The sequence below is a fragment of the Homo sapiens genome, chromosome 16 (assembly GCF_000001405.40).
Source record: "Homo sapiens chromosome 16, GRCh38.p14 Primary Assembly".
Taxonomy (NCBI): Eukaryota; Metazoa; Chordata; class Mammalia; order Primates; family Hominidae; genus Homo; species Homo sapiens.
The window spans coordinates 68,389,831-68,410,682 of record NC_000016.10 but is presented as its reverse complement, the minus strand read 5'-3'; the positions used below and the strand labels follow the sequence as shown (position 1 = coordinate 68,410,682).

The window sequence follows — 20,852 nt, the reverse complement described above, 5'->3', positions numbered from 1 at the left end:
ATGGTGGAGAAACAGATAAAATGACTCTCAGTCAAACTCTGCAAGAAAGCGAGGATTTATAGTCAGGAAGGCTCTGCACTTACAGCTTTTTAATGAGCCTTAGGTGTCCAAAGTTGGGCTGATTTAAATCCAGTAGTATCTACTATGATTTTTAACACCTTGGGTTGCCAGATTTAGCACATAGAAATAGAGGACACTCCTAGCCCCACTGCCCAAATAGCCTGAGGCTGGGGGTGACAGTGCTGATGCCTGGAGAAATGGGGAGGAGATTCATGTGTGTTTGTGCCTGGACCTCAGACTGGCATCCAAGATGACAACACCAACAATGTTCATGTTGGTGGGGCCACCCCTGGTCTGTGGATGGCATGGCCCATCGCCTCTGCCCTCACCTCCTCCCTCCCCTGGGAGCATCTGGAGCCTGAGCCCTGTGCTTCCTGACACCTGTGGAGTAACCACAGTTTGTGACACCAGCCCCAGCACCCACGGGGCATTCGTGTGTGCCGGGTACTGGCTGCAGGTCCTCTGAGTACTGTCTTCAGTCCTCTTGCGGTGGAGCTGGAGACAAGGAACTGCCCCACCAGGGCCTGCATGTGATTCTTACAGCCCTCGGGACAGGCAGGTCTTATCTCTGCCTCGTTAGGGTCAGAGAGGCCCTGGGGCTTGCCCACATGGGTGACTAACCTCAGCCTCCTCTCCCATGAGGTGTGAAACCTCTTGTCAGGTAGGTGACGGTCTGAGGGAAGGAGCTGGTGGCTCTTCTCATCCCCAGGACAGGATAATAACCAATCATTGGCTGGGCGCGGTGGCTCACGCCTGTAATCCCAGCACTTTGGGAAGCTGAGGCGGGCAGATCACGAGGTCAGGAGTCGAGACCATCCCGGCTAAAACAGTGAAACCCCGTCTCTACTAAAAATACAAAAAATTAGCCGGGCGTGGTGGCGGGCGCCTATAGTCCCAGCTACTCGGGAGGCTGAGGCAGGAGAATGGCGTGAACCCAGGAGGCGGAGCTTGTAGAGAGCCGAGATCGCGCCACTGCACTCCAGCCTGGGGAACAGAGTGAAACTCCGTCTCAAAAAAAACCAATCATGATGACCATGCACCAAGTGCATCTGAGTCGGGCACTGGGACAGGATTTTGTGTGCAGTTTACCCTCATGACACCTTCACCTCGTGTTATTTAGGTACTGTTAAAATGCCCACTTCAGAGATGGAAAAACGGAATCCCAGAGAGGAAACCTGACTTACCCAAATCCCAACTCTGGCAGGCATTAGAGCTGCTGCCCACAACACAGACCCAGCCCGAGTCAGGCGTGTAAGACTCACACTGCTCTGCCATGACCACAGGTGTGTCCTGCTTACAGATATGCCTCTCCCCTCACTGCACCCCCTCCCCACATCCCTCACCTCTCAGGAAAGGCACTCTCTGCTGGGGCCAAAGTGAGCCCTCCGGGCAAGGTTTCGAGCAAGATGATGAAACACAAAAGAGCTTTAGAGCTGCAAAGGAATGAGCTCGGAGTAACTGAGTACAAAAGCTGGGAAAATGCAGTGCCTGCTGGAATTCCACCCTTAAAGCCTGCTGGGAGAATAGATAGAGACAGGTCAGCATTGTCAGCGAGGGTCCTCTCCCTACACACACACCCCAGTCACCTGCAGTGCAGGGCCCTTGTGAGACCTCAGCGACCTAGGTGGAGCCTCTTGGTGTGCACTCCATAGCGGTGGGGAGTGGGGGTGCACAACAGATCCTTCTAAAGCAAAGCCCACTTCAGGATTGTGCCCACTCATCCAACACTTCATAACTGCCCACCTTTCCTGTTTTTAGTTTGTGAGCTATTATCGTCCAACACTGGCAGTAGTGGTATCAGCTGCCAGTACCAGGCAGAAACCTCAGGGATGCTGGGAATGTGTTTTTGCCCTCCTGGAGTTCTCAACCCAGGAGAGACAGAACCATGGTTGAGTTATTTATGTGCAAAATGTACCAGGCACTGTCTGGGCAGACCAGAGAAATAGAACACAGCCTCTACCTAAGGACAGGCGAGACACTGCCAAATGCCTAGGTCCAGGTCCCTGGCCTTGACCTGAAATGATTCATTCAGCAATATGCTGATTGAATGGGAGCCATCCCAGAGTCACCCAGATCTTAGTGGGCATGTCTGTCAGCATTGCCCAGGCTTTACTTCTCACCAAAAAAATTTCTAAATCAATCTTTTCTTTTCTAAATATTCTTAAAATATCTCCCCCATTTTCCCAGAAGTTACCCCTGACTCTCTTGTATAAATTCACAAATAATTAAATACCCATATGGGCAGAATATTCCTCATAGCTCAAAGGTAACAGTAGTCACATTAATTCCATAGGCAGCTTTATGTGTGGCTACAATGAATTTAACTAGCTTTTTCATTGTCTTTCCATGAAATGAGGTTGAGAAAATAATTTTCCCTTTGCAGATTGAAGTTTTATTTATGCAATTATCTTTTATTTAATAATAATAATGTTTTAAAAATCCATGAATTGGCATACTTTGTTCATTTTAGTAGCTGGGGCTATGTAATTAATTATGTTTCCCTTTTTTCCTTGGATTCTAGGAAGCTCAAAGATAAATTTGGAGCTTGGTCACAGAAGTAAGATTAGCCATTGGTGGTTAGAAAATTTGTATTCTTTTCTGCCTGGGTTCCAATTTCCTATTTCTATCTTAATAAACTCTCTGTTATATCTTTTGTTATAAGCTTCACCAATTCTTTTTTGGTAAAAGGGAAATAAATGAAGTTGATTTTTAAAAGAAAGTACTTTTTTAAACACTTATTTTTCCTCTGCCAGTAGAAACTTTTATTTTCACTGTTTTTTATAAGTAGGCAAACACGTATTACAATATTATCAATACCAGAACTTCACACTCAGCAAGTTAAGAGTTCGCACACCAGCCCAAACAATAAGGCATAAGAAGCATTTAAGATCACAGGTTAAAAATACAACAATATGCTACACATTCTAAGAGGTGATAATAAAGATTTTAGAATAAAAATTAAAAACAATTTTTAAAAAATACAACAATAGGCTCCTGTAGTAGCTCACACCTGTAATCCCATCACTTTGGGAGGCTGAGACGGGAGGATCCTTTGAGGCTTGAAGTTTGAGATCAGCTTGGCCAACATAGCAAAGACTCCATCTCTTAAAAAAAATTAAAAATTAAAAATACAACAATAGACTCAAAAGTCAAACATTAAAGTTGAATGTCATTTTGAATACCTACCAATCAGGAATTTTAAATTACATAAAACAAAAAAATACTCTTAAAATAGTTTTTCAAAAGAGGTTACTGATCATTTAAATTATTCTTTTCCAGGAAGGATAGCTTTAATTTATGCCTAAGAGCAGGGTTGTCTGCCCTTCCATGATGCTGTCTCAGACATGAATGTTATAAATTGATGGAGACAGTTCTCCTCGCCTACGTTTGGTTTTCCCTAAATGCCCTTAGCAACCTATGTATAAATCCATGCATCTTGCCAAGCTACACTTATGGTTAAGCAGTAATTACAGTGTGCCTGGACACAGCCCTCAAATGTTCACCTCAAGCAAGACGAGTCTCCCTTCAATATTCTCCTGATCAAGCTTCTGCCCTATTTCTGGCCCCACGTCCCAATCTTACTGAGCAGGAATCTAAAGACCACATTAATGAGCAAACAGCCCAGAACAGCCATCCGATTTTACAAGATTCCCCCAGGCAAGCATTAAATCCTCAGTCTCTACTGCCCTACCCCCATGCCCCGATGTGCTGCTGAGAGCGGATTTTTCATTCCTGCCAGCTGACTGTGTTCAGCAAATGTTTGTAAATGTCTGTGGCCGTGTCTCCTCCACGCTACGGTGAGCTTCCGCCCCCTGAAACTGTGTTTTCTGAGTCTTTTGTGTCTCCTAATGGTGCCTGGAACATTTTGCACATGATAAAGAACTCAAATAAAATGAACAATAAGCGTCCCCAACCAGCTAGAGCTTTTACGAGGCTCTCAGTGAAAACTCTGAACCACATCGGCGTCTGATAAAGGCAAACATCTGGAGATGCCAGTGGCAGATGCCCAATTATGCTGAGTCTGATGAATGGACACGGAGCTATTTGGGGCTCAGCAGCAATCCTCAGCTGGACCTGCCGCTACCGAGGGCGACAGGCTTCCCTCTTTCCAGGCACCATCCTGGCCTTCAGAGGGCTGGACACTTCTGCTCATCCACCACTAGCCCCAGCCATCCCAACCAGCCACTGCCACAAGATCTGCTGCCCCATCCCCAAGGAAGAGGAGGGCCAGGTTAAATTGATTTTCTCATTCACTTTTTTATTTCACAGAAATATCATATTTTCTATAAGAAAGTGTTAATTATACCACAGACACCATCAAATGGTACTAAGTGATAACTAAATGTTCAGAAGGTTGACGTGTATATTATTTCAAGTAGCTTCGTGATTTATTGTCTAATTTAGATAAATGGCAAATAGTGATATCATGATAGCCCCCTTTTATTCTGGTTTACGCCTCATTGTTTCTGGGTATAGAATAAAATGAATCATCAAACAGCCCCACGGGAAAGACTGGCAGACTGGTTAAGGGCATAGGCTGTAGCATCAGACCATTGGGGGTTCAACTGCCCGCCCTGCTGTTGACCAAGGGCAAAAGCAGGGAGGGCTAAGGGTGCCTCAGAGGGGACAAGGCTGATGATCAAGTGAGATAAACCGCTTGACAATGTTCAGCATCAGGAATGTGCTCCACCTGTGTTAGCTGGTACTAAGTCTGGGGTTAAGGGCGGACGACAGCTCTGGATTTCCACTCCAGGGATCAGGCTCAGCTGAGAGGTGCATGCACCCACATCAGTCTCTGAATTGTACCCAGTGAGGAGGGGGCTTCACTGTGAAGGGGCAGTGACTGTGGCATGCCATCCTGTGGCCAGGCGGGCATTTCTTCAGGGCCTAAGCTGTGTTAACTTACATTTCTGAAAGAGGAAAAGGACTTTCAGGCTGAGACTTTTACACCGAGAAGTCACTATTTTCATCTGAGTATAGTGAGGCCCATGATGGGGGCAGAACACAAGGCCTCCCAGACAAAATTATTCTCTTTTTGTATTTTCTTTTCTTTTCTTTTTTTTTTTTTTTTTTTTTTGAGACAGGGTCTTGCTCTGTCACCCAGGCTGAAGTGTGCAGGGGCACTATCATGGCTTCCTGCAGCCTCAACCCCTAGGGCTCAACCCCTACCTCAGCCTCCCAAGTAGCTGGGACCACGGGTGTGTGCCACCACGTGGGCTAATTTTTGTATTTTTTGTAGAGATGGGGTTTTGCCATGTTGCCCAGGCTGGTCTCGAACTCCTGAGCTCAAGAGATCTGATTGCTTCAGCCTCCCAAAGTGCTGGGATTACAGGTGTGAGCAACCACGTCCGGCCTGTGCATCTCTCTTAATGAAACCTGCCAAGGAATCTGGCAAAGTCATGGAACCGTGTGGTCCAGGCCAGCAGGATGGAAGATACAGAGCAGCCATGAGTCCCGAGGCTGTGACCCAAGCCCTCATCAAAACACCTGCCTTGGGGGAAAAAACTCTGCTAGTAGAATAGGTGTCTACCAGCAGTCCCAAAAGCTATAGGTCCTAGAGGGCAGATGCCACAAATGATAAGGCCCCAAAGGTAAAAACAAAAGCAGCAGAAGAGGAAAAGTCCATTTTCCTCGAGTTACCAAATGCCCGGATAAGAGCCAGGTCCTACATCCGCTTGGCCCACAGGGCCTGGCAAGTCTGCACACATGTGCCTGGGGTTACAGAGAGAAAGTTCAGAGCCGCCCCATTTCTACTGCTGCCAAGGACAAGTCTCCCACACAGTGTTCCAAGTCACTGGAGTAGATCTGTCAAGTACCAGGGCCTTTTCATTTCCAATTTGGATGGAAAGACTTATTTTCTATGCTGTACTCCTGGAAACAGTGTTTCAGGCTGTCCTGATGCCCCCAGCATCTATACAAAGATAACAGCCTCTGGGGGCTAGCACCTCAATGGCAGGTGGGCTGGGGGCACAGGTGACCCCTATTTCCTACCTGGGGAACCCCTGACAAGTCCCTTCAGACCTGCTTCTAAAGGTTGCTTGCCAGCCCCTCCTCACACCCCACCTCCTGCATACCCACCCTCACAATTGCTAAGCTGAGGCCCATGGAGATTCCAGGATAAAACAGAGAAAACAGCTGGGCATGGTGGCTCATGCCTGGGAGGCCAAGGCAAGCGAATCCCTTGAGCCCAGGAGTTCAGGACCAGCCTGGGCAACACGATGAAACCCTGTCATGGTGGCTCACGCCTGTAATCTCAGCAATTTGGGAGGCTGAGGCGGGCAGATCACCTGAGGTCGGGAGTTCGAGACCAGCCTGACCGACATGGAGAAACCCCATCTCTACTAAAAATACAAAATTAGCCAGGCATGGTAGCACATGCCTGTAATGTCCAGCCTGGGCAACAAGAGCGAAACTCCATCTCAAAAAAAAAAAAAAAAAATTAGCTGGGCGTGGTGGTGTGCACTGAGTAGTCCCAGCTACTCGGGAGGCTGAGGTGGGAGGATCTCTTGAGCCCGAGAGGCAGAGGCTGCAGTGAGCCATGATGGCACCACTGCACAGAATGAGACCCTGTCAAAGAATAAAGAAAGAAAGAAAAAAAGAAAACAGAGAAACAATGGCAGGGTTGTCATCCTGCCCACCATCCCAGCTGCACCTCAGCCTCCCTGGGACCTGGCGTTCCTGCAAAAGAATGTGCATGGGCTTTCTGACAGCTGGCCCCTCTGACTCCTGTGTGTGTGGTCACCCCTCTAGTCACAGGCACTCAGTAAGTGCTGTCACGCAAGAGTGGGGAACTGTTCCCCTTCATTACAGAATATTTGTCAGGGTATTCTTCAACGCATGAGGCCCAGCCCTGGTTTTGAAATGAGCTGGGGTAAAATTATTGTGCAAACAATCAAACCTCAGCAAATCCATTCTAATTCATTTCATTTAAAACTTTTGTTTTCCATAAAGGATTAGGCTAGGAAAGAATTTAATCACATCAAATCCACTTCTAAAATGGTTACAGATCCCAGGATCAAGAGTAATGATTACAAAAAAAGAATAAAAATCCCTGGATATTGAGAACTCATGTTTGGTACTGAATTAGTCAAACCAGCCTTCCTGACATCAAGAAGTAGCCTTCTTCCAGGACTAGGAAAACTGTATTTGTTGTTTTCAGGCATGAATGAAGGCAGAAATAGAGGTGAGGCCAGGCCAGGTCACTTGTCTTTATGCAGAGGTCAGTTCTGACCTGTAGCAAATTTGTATTGGCATCTACTCTGAGCCTGGCACTGTTCTTGGTGTCACAGATCCAACAGTGAACACAACAGACAGAATCCCTGTCCTCAGGGTGCTCGTGTTTCAGTGGAAGAAGAAAGAAAACATAGAAATGCATAATGAGTTAAGTGGTGATGTTTTGGAAAGAAAAATGAAGCAGGGAAGGGAATAGAGGGTGACAGGAGGCATTATTTGTACGGGATGGTCAGGGAAAGCTATCCCAAGGGGGTGATATTTGAAACAGGGACCTGAACAAAGTGAAGGAGGGAGCCACATCACATCTAAAATCAGAGCGTTACTGTAGGAACAAAGGCCCTGGGGCCAGAGGGAGCATGACACTCTGTGCTGCACCCTGACACAGTGTACAAATCCACTCTCCATACAAGACTAGCTCATCATCATTATAGAAGCGAAGCTTCCCCTCCAGCAAGTCAGCAGGCACATCTCAGGCCCAACAAGCCCTTCTCAGCGTCTTCCTGGAAGTCTCCTAATTCAGCATACACTGGTTTTCCAGGGAAGTGACATTCCAGTTGGAGGTTGCATTCCTAAGAATTCCTAACTATTGAATGCATTCCAGCATCCAATCAGGAAAGGCACTGACCTGCCGTCACCTTGAACCTTGATTCTGTAGAACCTTGATTCCGTAGAACCTTGTTGCCTCTTTGTGGCTACCGCCTCTCTGAGTTTCCAGAGAATTGTCTGGTGTGGGCCTGGGGTCGCTGTTGGTCATCGGGGCTGGCAGTCAGGAAGGAGTGCTGAACATAAAGCCATGACAAATGAGGATAAACTTGAACATTCAGGCACAGCGCCTACCATGCTATATAACAAATCACTACCAAACAGACCACTGGAAGGAGTCACCACGCCTTCCACCACCAGCATAAATGTACCCACTGACCTCATGTGGGCCCTGCTCTGTGGGACTCCTACAGCTTGTGCAAGATGAAAAGCCACACTGAGTTGAGTCATGACTCTGGCTTATTGCTTGTCCTCAGATTATGACAAATATGCACACAGAATCAATCCCTGCCTCCTGGCCCTCAGCACCCAGATGCAGCCCCCTTCCTAGGGCAGTATGTCACATACCTTCCCCATTTTATAGAGGAGAGAAATGGAGGCCTGCAGAGGTGAGGTGCTGTATCACTCAGGGTTCAATCAGGGAGGCAGAATACTACAAGTATAATGGAATCAGAAATTTATTCTAAGAATTAGACCTTATTAATTGTAGGAAGAGCCAGGGAAATGACAGTCTAAAAGGGAGAGAGATGTGACTCAGAGGAAGGTCACTAGCCAGCCGTGGCGTGGGTGAAGGAGAGTCGGAGCTTGCAGGGAGGTCCTGCTAAGGAAGCCTGGGTAGGATTCCGTAGAACCTTGTTGCCTCTTTGTGGCTACCGCCTCTGTGAGTTTTCAGAGAATTGTCTGGTGTGGGCCTGGGGTCGCTGTTGGTCATCTGGGCTGGCAGTCGGGAAGGAGAGCTGAACATAAAGCCATGACAAGTGAGGATAAACTGGAAGCTGCTGTCCTCTTAGCCATTTGGCATGTTTGCCTTGCTGGGATTCTAAAGATCTGCGACGAAGGCATTTATATGGTCCTAGGTGCTTTAAGAAGGCTTCCAGAAAACCTGGTATGACAGCCTGCCTTGTACCTATGAAATTCTCCTGTTCTGGCCAGCACAGTGCCCTGAAACTTCCCCTTGCAATAAGAAGATTGAAGTTCCTGGAACCAGGCTATTGGTGTGGGGATCTCAGATAATTACCTTTTAGGCAAGGCCAGGATTCAGGGAGATTCTTGGACATGCCCTGTCCCACCTCCACCCTGACTCTAAAGCATGCTCCAAAGACAGGGCCCTGTCTTCAAACTCACCCCCTGTAACATCCCACTTACGCCCCAGCCCCTGCTGCCTCCTATACCCCTATCACCCCCAATTCCACTTCCAACCCCAACCGCCCAAACTCAAGTCTTGCATTTTCTACTCCCTACTGGGCATCACCACTGAGCTGGGTGGCAAAAACCTAAAAAATTGGCTCAGAAAACCTCCAGTGCCAGTGACATCAAGTCCAAATGCGTCAGCTACATGTTGAAGTGCTCCCTGCAACAGGATATGGCATGCCCCTCCCCTCAGCCACTGTGTTTCCCTCAGGTGGACTGGGGCAGAAAAGGGGTGAGACGCAGGGATGCTGTGGAAAGTGCCCAGACTTTGGAGCATGACAAATCGGAGCTCAAGTCCCAGTTCTGACACTCACGGATGCTGGCCTGGGTGGTTCATTCAAGACTCTGTACTTCTGTTTCACTATCTGAGCTCTGAGGCCAGCACCTCACAGAGGGTGGCACTGGCAGTGCTCTGAAGGTGAGGGGTGGGGGTCAGGAGAAAAAAGTTCAATCCAGTGCAAAACTAGCAGATCCAATCACAAGCATCCAATAATCTGATTATTGTTTGGCCTCTGTGATCCCACAAACCACCACTTAGAAGAGAAATCCTCTCTCACTCAGAGCTGGCCAGAAGTTGCCATGTACCTGAACCCAGTTACAGTCGTCAGCCACAGAAGGGGCTGGTATGACTGGCCCTGCCCACTGGGTGATTGCTCAGGTTTGGTTTTGAACAGAGCAGTGTTCCAGGTGTCTAGGCACCTTTGTCGGGGCTGGAGAGGCACAACCATGGCAGATCAAGGCTGCAGGGACACATGGCCAGTCTGAAACATGCCCCCATCTGTGTGTGGGACATACAAGTGTGTGTACTTGTAGCATATGGTACTAAAAAAGTTCATCTCTTCCACTTAATTTTTATAAAACTGTCAGAAAGTGCAAGTTGAGGATTCTTGTCTGAATCTAATCCAACCACTACTGTAGTCTAACCCATGGGCCAGCTTCTGTCCCTTGATAAATGTGACTTAGAACAACCATATTGAATTAGGAGCTGATTATATCTGATTTGCCCTGTAACAGGGTTAGGTCCATTTCCTGGGATATAGCAGAAGGGCCTGATGGTCACCAAGCTAATCCATAATTATCGTTTAAAATTACAGCCCAAATGGGTCATGCTGGCAAGGTCAGGGGGACACCCTGGCAGAGCTGGGCTGGACTCAACAAGAAACCTCACAGCTTCCAGCACCTCCACAAAGCCCTTAACCCTTACCCAGGACCACATCACCCCCGACACGTATTTGAGGGTGGTTCCTTCTAGAGGCCACTTGGCAGAGGCAGGAAGTGGGACTAGGAGGCTCTGTGGCAGGATGGATTGAGAACAGCACTGGTTTTAGAGTCAGACAGACCTGGGTTCAAATCCCAGCTCCTCCACTGTGATCTTGGTAGCATGCTTTACCCCTCTGGGCCTCAGTTTCCTCATCTGTAAAATGGTGACTACAATAGTAGCTGCCCTGCTATGGAGTAGAGTGGAGAGGTGTGGTGACATCCACACTGGTGCCTGGGGAGGCATGAGGCTACGGAGAGAAGCTGGGCCCAGGCCAACTTGGCCTTAGCCCTGAGACAAGGCAGGGCTTTGGGTTTATCGTGGATGTCACTGATGTACTGTGTTTATAGCAAGGGGCTCCTCTCTGGACATGATCACTACTGAAGCAAAGTCCATACCTGGCCACTGCTGCAGTCTTCCAAATGATGAGGACGAGGCAACCTGGCAGTCCAGGCGAGCAGCAGCTGATTGGGTTCCAAGTCATCCAGGAAGAATGGCCAGTGGGGGGTCTGACCATCATTCTTCCTTCCTCCCCACCCACTTGCCCCTACATTGCATCAGCTGCCTCTAGGGAGCCTGGGCCTCAAGGCTCCTTCTTTGTGGGTGTCCACAAGATGGGATGGATGGCACTTGGCTCTTGAAGGGGACCCCACAGGCCTAGAAGGGGTCCCTACTTCCCTCCATTCCAGGCAGCAGATGTACTGGGGGCGTGGGGACAGCAGAGTTGTTCTCTTTACATCCAAGGCCTGTGGGACCAGGGGCTGACATTCATAAACGAAGCACAGTGGTGAGTGGACATGCTATGGGGCACCAGACCATGGGGCAGTGGGGGTAAGAAGGTGGCTCCTCCTTCTCACCTCCTGACCTTCACCTTGAACCCAGAGCAGGAGCCAGGTAATAGGAGAAGCCAGAAGTCCCCATGTGGGGAAAATGGGACCTCACTGCACAGCCTAGCCAGTCCTGATTTTGAATCCTGAAGTGACCTCCCCCCAAGCCCACCCACAGGGACATTTTCTGGCTTCAGCATTTGAATGAGAGTCTGAGAACCCAGAGGTGTAGGCAGAGGCTGGGCGGGCCTGAGGAGGCCGGGAGGATTTGCTCTCTTTGTTCAGAGCCAACAACTACAGGCTCAGTGTTTTTAAATGTTTGAATCAACAGAGGGACTGTTTATCACTATTTTAAATAAGAAACGTAATTAAAGGTTAGTGAGTCCCCAGAGCTCCTGGCCACGATGTCAAAGGCTTCCTTGACCTGGAGCGGGGAACAGAATGAAAAGTGACCACAGACACACTCCACTTCGGTGTGCTCTGCCACAGATCCCGCCTGATGGGTGCTCCCACCAAGGCCCACAAAAGATTCTGTGGCTAATGGAATGGCATTTCACATAGGTCCACGTTTTTCTCATTCCTAGGTGGCTTTTCTTTCTAAACTTGGGAACATGGAGATTCTATTTTAAGAGCATGAATTACTGTCCAATTTTAATGTAACTAATGCAAACCAAAAACCAACTTTGAACTGAGGAAAGGAAACAAAAGCAATTTATGGGATAATTTTGTGTTCACATCCCTCAAGATTACTTGAGAACACTTGTCTGATGCATTTATTTCTGGTCAAGAAAAGTGAATCGCCAGCTTTTTGGTGGTTTCTGGAGAACAAGGTGAAGGTTGGCCACATCAGCCTGGAAGACTCCAGCTCGGCCACCTCAGGCCAGGATCCTCCTCGGGGCTCAAAGAGGTAGTGTCAGGAAGGTAAAAATAGTGTGAGGGATTCGGCACCAGCTTTCTGACACATGGTTTTCTCATCCCGGGGACTGCCACGTAGGGCCCTCCTTTTCCAGCTATTCTAAGTGAAAAAGGAAAAAGTAAGGTTATTTGAGAACTACATAAAAACAGCGCTATATTTCAAGCACCTTTTCTGTGAACTTCCTCCCTTCCCAAGTGCTCTTTTTGGCTCTTCTTTCCTCACCAAGCCAAAAATGGGATAAGCCCCAAGCTTCTGTCCTTGACCCCCTTTTTCCCTCTGCCTGTTCTCCCTGAGAACATCCACAGCTGCAGCTCCAGCAGGGGCCCAGGTGGCCACAGCCCTAGCACATTCCAGACGCCCACCCACCTCTTGGACTCCCTCCCTCCCTCCCTCCCTGACGAAGCCCCAACATCCCAGAACCAGATTCTGCATCTCCCTCTGGAAGGCTGCCTTTGGGGCATATTCCTCCCTGTGGTTGTCATCCCCTGGCCTTGCCTGTCTGCAGGTGGCCAAGACTGTTTGACATGTGACCCAGGTCCCAGACCCTCTAGAGGCCACCTCTGGGGTGGTGCCAGGAGCAATAGAGGCTCACTGTAGGAGGCCCTAAGACGAAGCACTGCCACCAGGGGAGGGGGGAAGGCTTCCTGAAGAGACCACCCCCCGCCCCCGCAAAAGGCCAGAAGATGAGGAGGAGCTGACCAAGCAAGGCGTGGAATTCCAGGCTAGGGAAAGGCCCTCCCGGAGAGAGAACGGGACCAAGAAGGAAAGAGGAGAGCTCTAAGGACAGGATTGGCAAGAAGTGCGACAGGAGAGGAGGCAGATGTGGGGCATGGATTTTATCCTGGGGGCCATGAAAGAGTTCTCAGCGGGGAGGGTACCCAGGTGTGTACCTAGAAAGATCACTCTGGCTTCTGTATGGAGAACAAATGGAGGGCGCAAGGCTGAAGGACACCAGGGAGAGACAATGGGCTTGACCGGGGTGTTCCCCATCATCCCTCAGCCCCACAGCAGAACTCTACCTGGTTCCTGCTGGGTTTATACCTCCCAATCCCCACCAGCTCTCTGACCATTCAGATATCCAGGACAACAGTTGATGGATGAATTCACACTCCAGTGTTAAGAACAAATCATGGCAGCATCCACCTTGAATCCCTCTGGGACAGAGGAGGAGGCAGGTAAGAGGGAAGGGTGGTGGCTAGCAAGACTTCCCAACCCCTGGGGTGTTCCTCCCTTACCTATGGGTGCCTCCTGTGTATTAGAGAGCCCCATCGGTCAAAATGCTAACCAGGATGGGGCTGCAGATAAGTCTTGCTCACAGAATCTGTGCCACCCTCTGCTGTGTGACTGAGCAAGTCACTTATGCCCCTCCAAGCCTCAGTTTTCATCTCTGAGTACGGGATCAATAATACCTACCCTCCCCAGGCTGCTTAGGGGATGAAACAAGACGTTGTGCAGGGAATGCTCTGAACACAGTGCCTGGCACACAGTGGGTACCCCAAAACATTTTTTATATAATCATGTTGATGAAGATGATGATTCCAGTAAGCTATAGGCACTCACAACACACACGTGAGTTCACACAGCTTTTAAATTTCAAGTCTCCATCTTGCATTTTCGTTTTGTTTTCTTTTGTTTTACCACAAAGTAGCCTCATTGAGGCAATAATTCAAACAATTGGGAGCAGTTTCTCACAGCTCCTGCTGTGCCCCCTGGTGTGTACAAAGGGAATCGAACCTTCTGGTGATGGACATGCCCGCCTGGCTAGAAATCACTTTATTGATTCCACCGAGGTTCCTGGAATGCCTGTCAGGGACTGGGCCCTGTGCTTGGAGCTCAGGGGGCTCTACGCTGCCAGTACAAAGCCCCAGGGTGTGAGACTGAGGGGAGGGGGTTGGAAGCTTTAGAGCTGAGCCTTGGAGGAGGGGTGTCAGGTGGACCACCAGGGTGTTCCAGACACAGGGTACAGCATGTGCAAAGGCATGGAGGCGTGAAAGAGCATGGTATGTCCCAGGAACAGTGAAAGCTAGAGGTCGGGGCCATCACATCAAATCAGTGGGAGAAAGAGGGGCAGAAACGAGACTGAGGAGGGCAGGGCCTGGTCACTGGGGTCCTCAAGCCAGGCCAGGTAGAAGGATCGATCCTGGGGGTAGAGGGAGATCTGGAGATGCTGGACAAGGGCAGAATGAGCTCAGAGCTGCTGCTGGTGGGGATCACAGGCTTCAGCCCAATTAGGAGGGAAGGGGCTCAAAGCAGGCAAGACAGGAGGAGGCCCTGGTGGCGGTGACAGCCACGGAGGGGTTGGGAGTAGGGACTAGAAATGGACTCAAGAACTAGGAGTAATTGGCCTTGACTCTGGACAGGACACTTGGGGCTAAGGGAGGGGCCAAGGACAGAGTAGACAACTAGGGGCTACACCCGCTGAGGCTGGAAGGGCAGGGCTGGGCCGCCCAGGCCAGGCACACTGAGTTGAGGCACCCCTGGGACAGGACTCTGCTCCCTGCCTTCCCTCAACAACTTTCAGTCTGTTTTTCTCTCTTCTTTAACTGCCACAATAGGAAACCAAGATCTTTTTTATTGTTTGATATATTCCTCATTTTTAATTTAAAAAAAAGAGTAAGTGAAATGTTTTCTATTTCCTTCTCAAACAGAAAAGCAACATTACCTATACACATAGTCTCTCATGTATAGGAATGTCTAGATTTTACTTTTCCCTTGATGTATTTTTTTAAGACAGTTTAGGCACCGGGATGAAATTTAGAGCTGTCTGTCACCTTGGTGCTCAGCTAGCTGCCACTCAGGGTCACCCCTTAAGTGGGCCCAGGCTAGGGCGGCCACAGGCCTGAGCTCACCTGCCCCGTCTCAGGCTCATTGCTCAATGGCTTGAGGTGAACTGGGACATGACGGCTATGGGACTGAGATCTTCCCTCAAAGCCAGAGGGCACGCTTTAAACCCTGGAGATGATGACGTTTTGATAAAGTTTAAAAAAACTATTTCACTCTGCAAGACAAACAGCTAATAAAATAGAATCTTTTTTGGTAACCACCCATACACCAATCAATCTGTCACTCGAAAAACTAGTTCCCAAGAAGTGTGAAATGAGGCCACTCTGGAGTTCTGTGGGAACAGAGAGCCCCTGAAAAGCCTTCCTCTCGACCAGATTACAGTTGCCACCCAACAAAGGGAAAATCTCTGATTCTGAGCACAGGAAATACACAGCTAATTAGTTGCTCAATCAATACTGACTTTTGGAAGGTGAGCCATGAGGCTGGGGGTCACTGTTACACTGTTTATGTGCCCCCAGTCCACACTATCACCTATAATCCTGCCTCTTTTTTTTTTTTTTCCAATTCCAGCCCCCTTAGGAAAGATATATATATATGTAAGCATTTCCCACCCAGGGGGGCTAGCCAAGGGAGTGATGCCACAGGGGCCTCTTCTGCACTGCAGCCATTCAAGCAACAATTTAAAACAAAGGGTCATTCAACACCACCAACAAAAATCAATAGGACAAGCCTCAGTCATAAAACACATCTCTGTGCCCACCTGAGGCCACCATTGGAATGAGATTTCACCTCACTCACTGTCTCTGTATCTCCAGCTCTGCCTGATGGCCTCTTGTTTTTTCTATTTTCCCTTAGCTCTAATTCCCTATTTAAACAAACAAGCAAAAAAAGTCTCATATTGTACATAGGATACAGTTTAAGTTATCTTAAATCTTTTGGGGAACAAGAGAAAATAAATGATAAATAATCAGAACCTGCCCAAAGCAGCTGTGACTGAAGAATTCTGAATCCTGCTGCACTAAACTTAGAAGGAAAGCAGACAGCTACAAGTGCTAAATGATGAGCAGCAGTGTCTGCATGCAGTAGGCGCCTAATAAATGTCAATTAATTTGTTTTTTAAATGATGGAATCTGAAGGAACAAATAAGAGGAACTGGATAATAACTACTTTGAAAGAAATAAATGACAACAACAACAAAATACTGACAGAAACAGATCAGAAAAAATAATAGCTGTAATTCCACGGTGAAAATTATAAAAGAATTAGAAAACACCTGGAAGTAGTAATTGGCATTAACAGAAACAAATACAACAAAGAAATTAGTGATGTTGAGGATAAGGTAAGACATGAAACCTAAAATGTAGACAAAGAAAACAGAGGAGAAAATAACTGATTTGGAAAATGGAAAATGGTATCACAGCCCTAAAGTAGGCCTAGAAGAGAGAGACGAATGGATGAGGAACACATAAAGGAGACATCAGGAAAGAAATAATATAAGAAAAGTTTCCAGAAATGAAAAAACAGCTCAGCCTAGAACTAAAGAAAACACACTGTGCCTTTCAAATTCAACTCTGTGGGAAAGACATAAGCATTTCCTAGTGTAAATTTTGAATTATAAATTATCCAACAAGCTGAAGTGAAGGGAGATATGTTCTTCTGAAATTGGTAAGAATGACAAGAGAACTGACATCACAAATATTAAAGACAAAATGAGCCTCAAAAAACTGTGCAATTCTGACTGCACAAGTAGATTCTAACCACATCAGTTATGCTCCTAAACAAGACTTGTTCTCTGCAAGTAGGGGAAAGCAAAGTCTTCTAAAAATTGGGGGAAAGTTGTGCACAATTGTACTTTTTTAAAGCAAAGGAGAGTATCTGATTTTTACAAAAATATAAAAGACAAAAGCTATCTTATATAACAAGAAATTAGAATTAGAATGGACCAATTGAAGAAGAAAGAAAGAATAAGTGATCTGACAAAATGTAGTCACTCCCAAGAGTCCGCCTACACTCTAATATTCTCAAACCTGCTCCAATCCAGACCTCAACTCTGAGTTCTGGGTCTGAAGATCCAAATTCTGTCTGGACATGTCTATGCAAATGTCCCCCAACACCACAAACTCTGCCTTCACCCATTCACCCACCCCCACTGCCAGTGAGCAACTTCACTAGCCATACAGTTACCTGAACCAGGAGACCTCTGAATAAATTCCTGGTCCATTTTCCTTTTTGTTTTTTTTGTTTTTGAGACAGAATCTCGTGCTCTATCGCCCAGGCTGGAGTACAGTGGTGCTATCTCAGCTCACTGCAACATTGACCTCCTGGGTTCAAGCGATTCCCTGGCTTAGCCTCCTAAGTAGCTGGGACTACAGACTCACACCACCACACCCAGCTAATTTTTGTGTTTTTACTAGAGATGGGGTTTTACCATGTTGGCCATGCTGGTCTTGAACTCCTGACCTCAAGAGATCTGCCTGCCTCGGCCTCCCAAAGTTCTGGGATTACAGGCATGAGCCACCATGCCCAGCCTCCTGGTCCATTTTCATGTTACCCAGGTACCCCTTGGTCCCCATCCATTTGTATAAGTCTGTTTGGGCTACCATAACAAAATACCATAGACTGGGTGGCTTAAACAACCGAAATTTAGTTTCTTACAGGTTAGAGGCTAGAAGTCTGAGATCAATGTTCTGGCTGATTCAGTTTCTGGTAAGGGCTCTCTTCCGGGCTTGTAGACAGCCACCTTCTCACTAAGTCCGCATATGGCTTTTCCTTGGTATGTGTGAGCACTTTGGCATCTTTTTTTTTTTTTTTTTTTTCCCAGACAGCGTCTCATTCTGTCACGCAATCTCAGCTCACTGCAACCTCCGCCTCCTGGGCTCAAGTGTGCCTCAGCCTCCTGAGTAACTGGGACTACAGGCGCACATCACCATACCCGGCTAATTTTTGTCTTTTTAGTAGAAACAGAGTTTCGCGTGTTGGCCAGGCTGGTCTCTAACTCTTGGCCTCAGGTGATCCTCCTACCTTGGCCTCCCAAAGTGCTAGGATTACAGGCGTGAGCCACTGCACCTGGCCTGGCATCTCTTCTTATAAGAACGCTAATGTTATCAGATCAGGGGCCCATCCTTATGACCACCTTTAAACTTGATTACAAATGCTCCTCAACTTATCAGGGTTACATCCCTATATGCCCATTCTATGTTGAAAATACAGTTCCTTGAAAATGCATTTAATACACCTAAACTAGCAAACATTATAGCTTAACCTAGCCTACATTAAACATGTTCAAAACACTCACATTAGCTTACAGTTGGGCAAAATCATCTAACAAAGTCTGTTTTATAATAACTACTAACATTTTATAATAAAAAATTAAAATAATAAAAAGAAAAGGTCAAAATTCAAAGTACAATTTCTATGGAATGTCTATTACTTTTGCACCATTGAAAAGTTGAAAAATCTTGGCCAGGCACAGTGGCTTATGCTTGTAATCCCAGCACTCTGGAAGGCCAAGGCGGGCAGATCACCTGAGGTCAGAATTTCGAGGCCGGCCTGGCCCACGTGGTGAAACCCTGTCTCTACTAAAAATACAACAATTAGCTGGACATGATGGTGGGCACCTGTAATCCCACCTACTCGGGAGGCTGAGGCACGAGAACCACTTGAACCTGGGAGGTGGAGGTTGCAGTGAGCCAAGATGGCACCACTGCACTCCAGTATGGGTAACAGAGTGAGACTTTGTCTCAAAAAAGAAAAAAAGAAAAGTTGAAAATTCTTAAGTCGCACCATCGTAAGTCAGAGACCATCTATACTTCCTTAGAGCCTCCATCTGCAAATGCAGCCACACAGTGGGTTTAGGGCTTCAACATATAAATTTGTTGGGGACACAAACATTCGGTTCATAACACCATTCTACCCTCTTAGATGTCCCCCAGATATGTGACCCTTCTCTCTTCCCACTGCCTTGGCCCTGCCATCTCCCTGCTTTGCCTACTGCACTGGCCTTCCTGCTTGTCTCCCCTCCTGCCCACCCCATGCTCCCTGTAGAATTATCTTTCCAAATGGATAACTGATCACTGAATACCTACAAAGAGTTGTCACCAATATCATCTCATCTAATTCTCCCAACAGCCTTGCAAAGTAGTAGAAACCCAATGCTCAGAGAGACTAAGTGAAGGCCCAGTGTTGCCCAGGGCCAGATTTGAACCTAGATTGGACTCTGAAGTGCACAGTCTTTCCAAGTGTGTCTCCCACCTTTGTAGTCCAAACTTCTGAAAGGATGTCAGGTCCACAATATACACAACAATTAATGACTGGCAGATGAATGGGCTTCATATGTAATCATATCTTCAACTTCATCTTCTTCAGTATCTACAGTCAAGTTGATCTCCCTTCTGAGTCCAACTAACAGAGATCCAGGCCCTCTGTTTTGCTGCTTCTTTGGGGGAAATGAGGAATTAACATTTTGTTAATCAAAATCAAAATGTGTACTTTCCTGTTAAAGACAACTCCCTCATGTGACTTCAATTATTTACTAGCAGAGTTACTTGCACTTTTAAGGGCAGAATTTTTTCAAGCATAAAATGACGAACTACAGCTTTGTCTTAATTCCCCATTAGCTTATGTCCTAATCTTTGTTCACTGAGGTGGGGGCACTGTCCACCTCACTGGAAGATCAAGTTGAACCAACCACTCACCACCCTGTAGTGTTACTTGGAGATCTAGGAGGTTTGAAGGGTAGCTCCTCTCACCAGCCATCCCTAGCAGCTACTCTGGGATACTTCTGCACCTCTCCCCCAGGGTCTCACCCAAATGCAGACAGGCTGCCTGACCATGCCTGTCCAACCATGGCACCCTCCTTGCCTTGGTGGTGTTGTCAGAGGTGTTTGAACCGGGCAACTCCATCTTGAATAGGTGCTGGGTAAAATGAGGCTGAGACGTGCTGGGCTGCATTCCCAGAAGGTTAGGAATTCTTATTCTTTGTTTGTTTATTTTGAGACAGGTCTCACTTTGTCACCCAAGCTGGAGTGCAGTGGCGCCATCACAGCTCACTGCAGCCTTGAACTCCTGGGCTCCAGCGATCTTCCCACTTCAGCAGCGCAAGTAGCTGGGACTACAGGCATGCACCACCACACTCAGCTAGTTTTTGTATATTTTTTAGAGACAGGGTTTCACCATGTTACCCAGGCTGGTTTCAAATTCCTGAGCTCAAGAGATCTGCCTGCCTAAGCCTCCAAAGTGCTGGGATTACAGGCGTCAGCCACCACATCCAGCCTAGGTTAGGCATTCTTAGTCACAGGATGAGATAGGAGGTCAGCACAAGATACAGGTCACAAAGACTCCGCTGATGAAAATAGGATGCAGTAAAGAAGCTAGCCAAAACCTGCCAAAAGCAAGATGGTGAACAAAACAACCCTGGTTGTCCTCACTGCTCATTATATGCTAATTATAATGCATTGGCATGCCAAAAGACACTCCCACCAGCGCCGTGACAGTTTACAAATGCCAGGGCAATGTTCCAGAAGTCACCCTTGGTTTTATATGGTCTAAAAAGGAGAGGAACCCTCAGTTTCAGGAATTGCCCACCCCCTTCCTGGAAAACGCATAAATAATCCACCCCTCGTTTAGCACACGATCAAGAAATAACCATAAAAATAGCCAACCAGCACCCTCTGGGCTGCTCTGTCAATGAGGTAGCCATCCTTCTGTTTCTTCTCTAATGAACTTGCTTTCACTTTACTGTGTGGACTCACCCTGAACTCTTTCCTGTGCAAGGTCCCAGAACCCTTTCTTGAGGTCTGGATCAGGACCCCTTTCCCATAAC

General features: G+C 47.5%; 1 protein-coding gene across 6 annotated transcripts in view, besides 5 other annotated features; it reads left to right on the top strand.

The window, feature by feature from the left end:
• SMPD3 (sphingomyelin phosphodiesterase 3) overlaps positions 1-20,852 on the top strand; it is a 90,182-nt gene that overhangs the window by 37,826 nt on the left and 31,504 nt on the right. The gene's annotated exons all lie outside the window — the stretch shown is intronic.
• Positions 1,037-2,016: an enhancer, noted in NCBI's record as "NANOG-H3K27ac-H3K4me1 hESC enhancer chr16:68442570-68443549 (GRCh37/hg19 assembly coordinates)". NCBI's record gives its function as "activates a minimal SCP1, AML or CMV promoter by ChIP-STARR-seq in naive H9 embryonic stem cells {active_cell/tissue: H9 hESC(naive)}" and the evidence as "EXISTENCE:reporter gene assay evidence [ECO:0000049][PMID:30033119]".
• Positions 10,534-11,161: an enhancer, noted in NCBI's record as "H3K27ac-H3K4me1 hESC enhancer chr16:68433425-68434052 (GRCh37/hg19 assembly coordinates)". NCBI's record gives its function as "activates a minimal SCP1, AML or CMV promoter by ChIP-STARR-seq in primed H9 embryonic stem cells {active_cell/tissue: H9 hESC(primed)}" and the evidence as "EXISTENCE:reporter gene assay evidence [ECO:0000049][PMID:30033119]".
• Positions 11,162-11,791: an enhancer, noted in NCBI's record as "H3K27ac-H3K4me1 hESC enhancer chr16:68432795-68433424 (GRCh37/hg19 assembly coordinates)". NCBI's record gives its function as "activates a minimal SCP1, AML or CMV promoter by ChIP-STARR-seq in primed H9 embryonic stem cells {active_cell/tissue: H9 hESC(primed)}" and the evidence as "EXISTENCE:reporter gene assay evidence [ECO:0000049][PMID:30033119]".
• Positions 12,373-12,873: an enhancer, noted in NCBI's record as "H3K4me1 hESC enhancer chr16:68431713-68432213 (GRCh37/hg19 assembly coordinates)". NCBI's record gives its function as "activates a minimal SCP1, AML or CMV promoter by ChIP-STARR-seq in primed H9 embryonic stem cells {active_cell/tissue: H9 hESC(primed)}" and the evidence as "EXISTENCE:reporter gene assay evidence [ECO:0000049][PMID:30033119]".
• Positions 19,883-20,177: a silencer, noted in NCBI's record as "tiled region #9240; K562 Repressive non-DNase unmatched - State 22:ReprW". NCBI's record gives its function as "represses a minimal TATA promoter and a strong SV40 promoter by Sharpr-MPRA in K562 cells {active_cell/tissue: K562}" and the evidence as "EXISTENCE:reporter gene assay evidence [ECO:0000049][PMID:27701403]".